Source organism: Homo sapiens, chromosome 4, assembly GCF_000001405.40.
Source record: "Homo sapiens chromosome 4, GRCh38.p14 Primary Assembly".
Classification (NCBI taxonomy): Eukaryota; Metazoa; Chordata; class Mammalia; order Primates; family Hominidae; genus Homo; species Homo sapiens.
Window position 1 is genome coordinate 142,760,519 of NC_000004.12, and position 7,644 is coordinate 142,768,162.

The window sequence follows — 7,644 nt, forward strand, 5'->3', positions numbered from 1 at the left end:
ATCAATTATGCTGAAGAGCCACAATACTCTTATAGAGCAATCAATTATGCTGAAAATTTATACTTTCAACTACTGACTCAAAAAACTGGGAAAGTCATGTTACATGAGAACAGCTAATTGAAAAAAAAGTGAATCTGATCATTTTAATGATTCTACCTATTCTTATATTAAATTTTGTATAAAACCACTGAAAATTGGACTTTTTATGAAGAAAAGTGTTCCCTGAACAAACCATGCTTTCTCTTTTGCCTTTGGCCTAGCAATGGTGCTACCACATCCAGGAACATAACTGGCAATTATTTCTCTCTACTCTCAACCCTTCTACTTTGCCTAAATTGTACTCATTCTTTACATTTTAGATGACAAGTTATTACCTTCAAGAATTCTTCCCTGAACGTTCTTCCCAAAGCTGGGTTAGGTATTCCCCAAAATGAACACTAGACCTAGCAACCTGGTCTCACCCACTAATATAGTACACATCACAGTGTTCTGTTATTTCTTATTTATTTGTATTCTCCCAAATCTTGCAACATGAACACATACTCACACAGAAGCTTCTCTGGCCCAGGACGTAGCATCCATTATCTTCCCAAGAACACAATATGGACCTAATTATTTTGCTTATATAACTACATTGTCATAAAATAAGCAATTTTTTTTTTTTTTGCTTTTTGCTAAAAAATATCCACACCTTATTGAGCATTTTTAATTGTATTCTGCAGCCTTCTCCACTTTCCCTCTCGGTCATGCTAACAGGAGTCCTCAGTCCTTCTGCAAGTTGGAAAATGTGTTGAAGTTTTGTGCATAGGTTCCTTTTGACATTTTTCCATATTGATCTCCCCATTTGAGAATAGAGAAAATGTACTACATCATATAATTTATTTTAAATTGGTACCATGAAAATCTTTCTACACAAAAACATACATCAGTATGTGGCCAAGATTGAGAAATGTGTTCATTTTAGTATTCACACCAATATTTGCCAAATAACTGAGTCATATTTTTTCTACTAAATTTGAATTTTATAAAAAGAGTGTTCACAGTGGATGCCATTGTAATAATTGTTGTAAGAGATTTTTAAAGCCCAACCTATAATAGAAAAATTCAATTGAAAGTCATTGTCAAGTTGACCAAGCACTTGTGATATTTGTTTCTATTTTACACATTGACAGAAATAGAAAGATTGCACCAGCCCTTTTTGTCAGATATCACATTAAGTAAATTACATTAGGCATTCTCTGTTAAAAGGGAACATTGGGGCAGCCCAGACTTTTTATATATTCAAATACAAATCAGTCACATTCAGACACTTAAGACAAGATAACATAATTCTAGCCAAGGTGGAGCATAAACCATTCCTAAAACCTCTCAAAATACAGCAGGGCCAGCTGTGTAGGTATGGGAACTAGCCAGATTATGGTTCCTAGCCAAAAATGATCATTTCTGATCTTCTAGAGTCAATATGAAACCCTGATACAATTGGATGTAAAAGAAAAATGTGTTGCATAACTTGAGGCCATGGCTTGGAGTTGACTGACCTTAATCTTCTCAGGCAGAGAGTTGTCTGTCATGTTATGCCAAATGCCCACACACCAGGCTTTTTCTCGTTTCTTCATTTTGATGCACTCTACACACTCTACATGTCTGTGTTAAGTGCCCTGGCTCTCATTCTGCAACTCCCTCAAATTCTGTAAGCATCTTAGAGCCTTCAGGGCTCATGGAAACACTGGTTAATACTAGAGTGGAGAAATAGAAAGCCATCACCACACCCACCTCACTTCTCTAACTGCACCCCCAACCCAAACACACACACAAATACATATGCACAGATTTTCCTAAGTTCAGAAGAAAAACTTTGGGAAGACAGATCATCTTAGGGATAAAAATTTTCAGTATAATTATGGGAGCCACCATAATCCTGTGAGGTGAGCTTACTCAAGAGTAAAAATAGCTGTCCTGAGTGACACTGCCTCTGGATAAAGCTCGCTTATGGCACATTGCTGAGCAGTAAAGCAATCCTACAAGAAGCATTTTTCAGCAAGCCAGACCAAATTTGTCCATGAATTTCCCTGTCTTGTTAGTTTAGATCTAACCCATTGCAGTACACTTTTCTAACAGACAAGCAACAAGTACGTTATCTTCCATCATCACTGCAGTAGAAAGCATTCTATATGTGGTGTGGTGTGTGTGCCATATATTTGAAGAGGATATGTGAACAGGAAGAAACCATATCAGAACAAGAATGAAATCTTAGCAGCTAACTGTGTCACTGCTATGGTCTGAGTGTTGAAACTTGATTGCCAATGTGATAGCATTAAGAAGTAGGGCTTTTAGGAGGTGATTACATCATGAGAGTAGAGCCCTCACAAATGGGATTAATGATCTTATAAAAGAGGTGTGAGGGAGCTGTCCATTCTTTTTGCCCTCCCACCTTCCATCATGTGAGGACACAGCAACAGGGCGCCATCTTGAAAGCCGAGAGCAATCCTCACCAAACACCGAATCTACTGCTGCCTTCAGCCTGGATGTCCCAGAACTGTGAGAAATAAATTCCTTTTATTTACAAATAACCCAGCATAAGGTATTCTGTTATAGCCACGTGAATGGACTACAATTGTCATCTTGGAGAAGTCCTTTAATTTCTCTAAGCATCAGTTTCTACTCACTTGCGACTACATTATCTTATTTCAATCTTAAATGATATTGTGAAAATTGCTTAGAAGCTTACATTTAAATATATTCTAAGTCTCTCTCCAAGTATGCTAACTTGTTAACACTAACAGAAGTCTTTCATAATTTTTTAAAAGTCATTAACACATTTTACTGATGAAATTAAAATGGCAAATTTAAGAGAAATAATATTTTGATAGATATTAATTAATGTTCCCCCTTGATTAGATTTAACACTAAATAACAATATGTAAAACCAAGAAACAAACAACAGAACATTGTGAAGAACCAACATATTGTCCTAATAAACAGGATGGAAGAGTTTCACCAGAAAAATCAACCCATGATTGAGAAGGGAAACTGAGCTTGACAATTACAACATAATATAACATCAGATCTTAAGGAAAAACTTGGAAGCCATAAATATATTCAAATTGTACTTGTTGCTTTTCTAAAGAACAAATAAATAATATCATAAGGAAGTAGGAAACTAGTAACCACCAGTGTGCTAGCTGTGTATACTACCAAAGTAAAAGTGATGCCTGAACCAATTTTAACTATGGTTCAATTTTTATGCCATACATCTCTGTGGTTAGGAAATTTTCTAAAGACAAAATTACAAATTTTGCTTTGTAAAAATTTTTTTAAAAAATCAGCAAAGAAGCAATGTCAATAGTCAAGACATGAAATTATCTAAGCTCTCATAAAATTGAAACAGAAAGGAAATTCTATAGAAAATTAATGATTCAACATATTCATTGAGGCTGCCTAAAAGCTCAATCTGCTCTTTAAAATTCTTTGAGCTTATTCATTTTAAGATGTTTTATTTCAAGTTCAAAAAGTTATGACAGAATGCTAATTTTATTAATAATTTATGAGAGCGTAAATTTTTCTTTTCTCCAAAAAGTTTCATCACATCCTCAAGATATTTTTATTCCCCTTTTTGACGTGTTAGACAAAATTACACATGCATATGCAATAAAAATATATAATTTACATCTGAAATACAAACTGCATTTAATCTGTACTTCGTAAGTAAAAACTCACAAGCAAACTAAAAACAATAGAAGCTCTTTTCTCACTAAACTCTTAGGTTCATTTCTTGACTTTTAAAATGGTAGTTGGAAAAGTATATGAATGAACACATACATCAAACAGATACTGAAATCCTCAAAGGTCATTTCTTGCTTTACACAATAATAAAAAATTCAAGGCAACTGTCAGAAAATAGCTGGCACAGCACCATACTGGGCTGACATCAAAGAAGTTGTTGATGTTATAGATACTGTCAAATAAAAAAAAAATCTTAGTTGGGGCTCTAATGATACTGAGATCCCACCCTGTGAACATAACCATCTTGTTTTGACAAGAACAAAGAGAAACCAGCTGTTCTCCTAGGAACATATCAGAATTCATAGCAGCCATTATTCCTCCAGAGATATTTCTGAGAGAGGACAATGTCCTAAATCTCTGAGGATTTCTTTATTCTGCAACACCCAGCATTAGTTTCCATCCTCTACCCCACCCTCCCACCTCCTGACATTAATGTTAATCAAGATCTACTCTGAAGACAAGAGACCCTTAACAGGAGGGTCTAGCATGTGTATCTGGAGATCCTCAGATACACATGCTAGAACACGGAGGTTAAGGCTAGACCATCGAGGCCCTTAAATATGAGGCTAAGACGTTCGCTTGGTTAGAAAGGACAAAGGGAACCATGAAACTCGTTAAGACTAGGGACATATGAGATTTACTCTCTTAAGAGTAAATAATCTACTCTGGGGATGGTGCAATCAGGTGTTTGAAAAAAGTGAAAAACATTTGGTGCAATTACTTTGAGAAATATCCTAGAAAGTAAGATAAATAGGAGATTAAGCCACAGTGAGGATACAGCAGAGGTGAGAGATCATGATGCTGCACAGACCTCAGTCCAAAAAATGTCATGGCATTCTGCAACAAAGCTTGGTAATCTGACAGTGAAAAAAGTTGATAATGGAATGGCCCCAAATTAGAGATTAGCAAGGCAATGAAGATATTGAAGCTTTTAAAAGATTAAGCATGGATCCAGAAGCACAGGTGAGGGAAATGAGGTCTACAAGGCACTTATAGGTGGGGGTGGCACTGAAGGGCTGGATGTGTAATTCTGCAAAATAAAATTACACAAGAGTTGTGACCACCTGAGTATATCATGAGTCTTAAAGCACAGCAAGTGGTGGACTGCACCAAAACACTCTTTCCAAATACAGCACAGAAATTCAGACTGGACCAACAACTTTGACTGCATTTAGAGGAAGGGTTGTAATGGAAAATCAGTAGACAGGTGGAAGGTGGTCCTTGTAATTGAAAATAGATGTATTTCCCCACTCTCCTCCAAACAATCATGTGAGAGAAAATTTGCTTGAAGATAAAATTAACAAAATAGAACTGACTTTGGATAGATCCAGAAAATTGTAAGGATTTTCACTGTTAACTTATTACTGTCACTTCTAAGGGAGATATCGGTTAAACCAGTTGACAACATAGTATGCCAACATCTTTCTTTTATTTATATAAACATGAACTAAAATCCAGCATTATTTTTCTGATCATCATCTCTTATAAGCTATAATCCAGCTCATAAAACTTGTGCAAGAAACTCAGCAAAAAGCTTCTGGTTTTTTTTTTTTTAATCAAATACAGAACAATGTAAGTCAATGTATCATTATTTTCCAGCTAACAAGGTGCTATTTTTTTCAATAAATATATTACTTCATCTGAGGTTAGTCTGTTGAATTTTTCCAGCCCATTAGATTCTCACTTAATGAGATTTTTCTCTCTAAAGAAAGTAGAGATATTGAATCAATATAACTTATAGAACAGTCCAGAGCAGTGAAACATTTGCATAAACATCTTAATCACAGATATTGGAATCAGAAACAGAAATATCAGAATACCTACCCATCATGTTCTCATTATGTTAAATTTTATTTATATTGTACAACAAACATTATTTGTAGGGTGTGCCTATCAGTCAATCATTTACATATCTACTGTCATGGCGAAATAAAATATTCAACCATAGAATAACAACAGAATAAGGTGTAAGATATAAATGTTTGTTTCTTCTCACTAATGTCTATTTTAAAAATCACCTGGACTCATTAAATAATTCGTTTATGGTTAGTCTGACAGCAGAAAGCATAAGGTGTTTTTTTGTTTTTTTTTTCTGAGATGGAGTCTCATTCACTCTGTCACCCAGGCTGAAGTGCAATGGTGGCACAATCTTGGCTCACTGCAACCTCAAGTGATTCTCCTGCCTCAGCCTCCCGAGTAGCTGGGATTACAGCCGTGCACCACCGCACTCAGCTAATTTTTGTATTTTCAGTAGAGACAGGGTTTCACCATGTTGGCCAGGCTGGTCTTGAACCCCTGACCTCAAGTGATTCTCCTCCCAAAGTGATTCTTTCCCAAAGTGCTGGGATTACAGGCATGAACCTTTATGCCCAGCCATAAAGTATTTTCTCAAAAAAAAAATCTAAAGCAAAATGAAATCAATGTGTGCTTCCTTACCTAAGACCATAGGAGGCTGGAACTGGAATAGGATTTAGAGATTGTGTCCATGGATTTTTAACCCCAGAGGATCCAGAGATGACACCAGCATCTGAAATTACTCAAGGAAGAATACATGTACATGTGGATGTGTATTTAGAGTGGGAGGAGAAATAATAGAGATGATATACATAGAGTTCAGAAGATTCTTAATGACTCTAAAAACAGTAAGAGCAGCCACTTTAACTCAAACTCTTTATCTTACACAATAGGAAAAACTGAGGCCCAGATTGGGGAATAAAGCCACCCAAGGTGATGAACCTAGTTAGTGATTCAGATGACACTGGTTTCCTCAATGATAATCTAAACGCTCATTCCACTTTTCACACTGCCTCTATTCAAAGCCCTCCAATGTGAGATTTTAAAAATGGAGCTTTTGAAAGTGGGAAGTTACAATACTTTAATGTTTGCTCTGTCACTCTTTTAGATTGTTCTTCTTCCGGTGGGGGAGGGGAAAACACTTTGGAGCTTAAAAGTGGGAATTCATTTGAAAGAGGGTGAAAATCTAAAGAAGCAGTATGCCCTTGCTTCCAAACCTAGGTAAGAGATATGAAAACTTAACCTTCCAGCCAAGACAAGTTTTAAACATTATAAGGGCAGGTAGGTAATATTAGACTGTTTGAGACCCCTATATCTGTTATAAACCTCATTGAGCATAGAGTGATAGTCAGGAATGGGCTGGCTCTGCAGCCAGATTATCCGAGTTCAAATCTAGTCTCTTTCACTTTCCAGGTGTAAAGTCTTAGGCAAGTAACTTAGCTTAGCCTCTCTGTGCCTCTGTTTCAAATACACTGGGGATAATAGTAGTACTTATCTTCATTTGGGTTTCTCCAAAATAGAACATGACAAGATCTTGGATGCAGGTATTTGGCTTGGGAGAATTCTCTGGAAGGAGTTACGAATGACAAGAGTGAGACAGAGCTACAATAGGAGTAAATTACAGAAGTTGCTTCTATAAGCAATGGAAGTTTGACTCAGCTGAGACTTCCAAGAGTGTACAGAATGCCTCTTAGAATTGTCCATTCAAAGGGTGGGAAGCTAGAGAATTTACCCACCAGCTCCTGTGCATCTGTGGTTGAGGGTTGCCCTGAGAATGTTAAATCCACTTCACTTCTGTGCCAGGACATTAGAAAGATCTAGTGACTTCCTGCACTTTAGAGAAGGCCTGAACAGGCAGACTGATACTTGTGCATGGGGTGAGACACTCAGCACAAGTCTGAGCTCACACAAAACTCTCTGCCATAGTGATGGCTGAAATATGAGTTATGTCACAGTGACACAGGGCACTGGAAGCATTGGCTGTGTTGTCTACCTCAAAAGCATTGTTGTAGGGACTTAATAAAGTAATTCATGTAAAGTGGTTAGAACGAACCTGGCATATAGCAA

General features: G+C 36.6%; 1 protein-coding gene across 11 annotated transcripts in view; it reads right to left on the minus strand.

The window, feature by feature from the left end:
* The window catches only part of INPP4B (inositol polyphosphate-4-phosphatase type II B), an 823,376-nt gene that overhangs the window by 737,359 nt on the left and 78,373 nt on the right, over positions 1-7,644 (minus strand). The window lies entirely within an intron of this gene.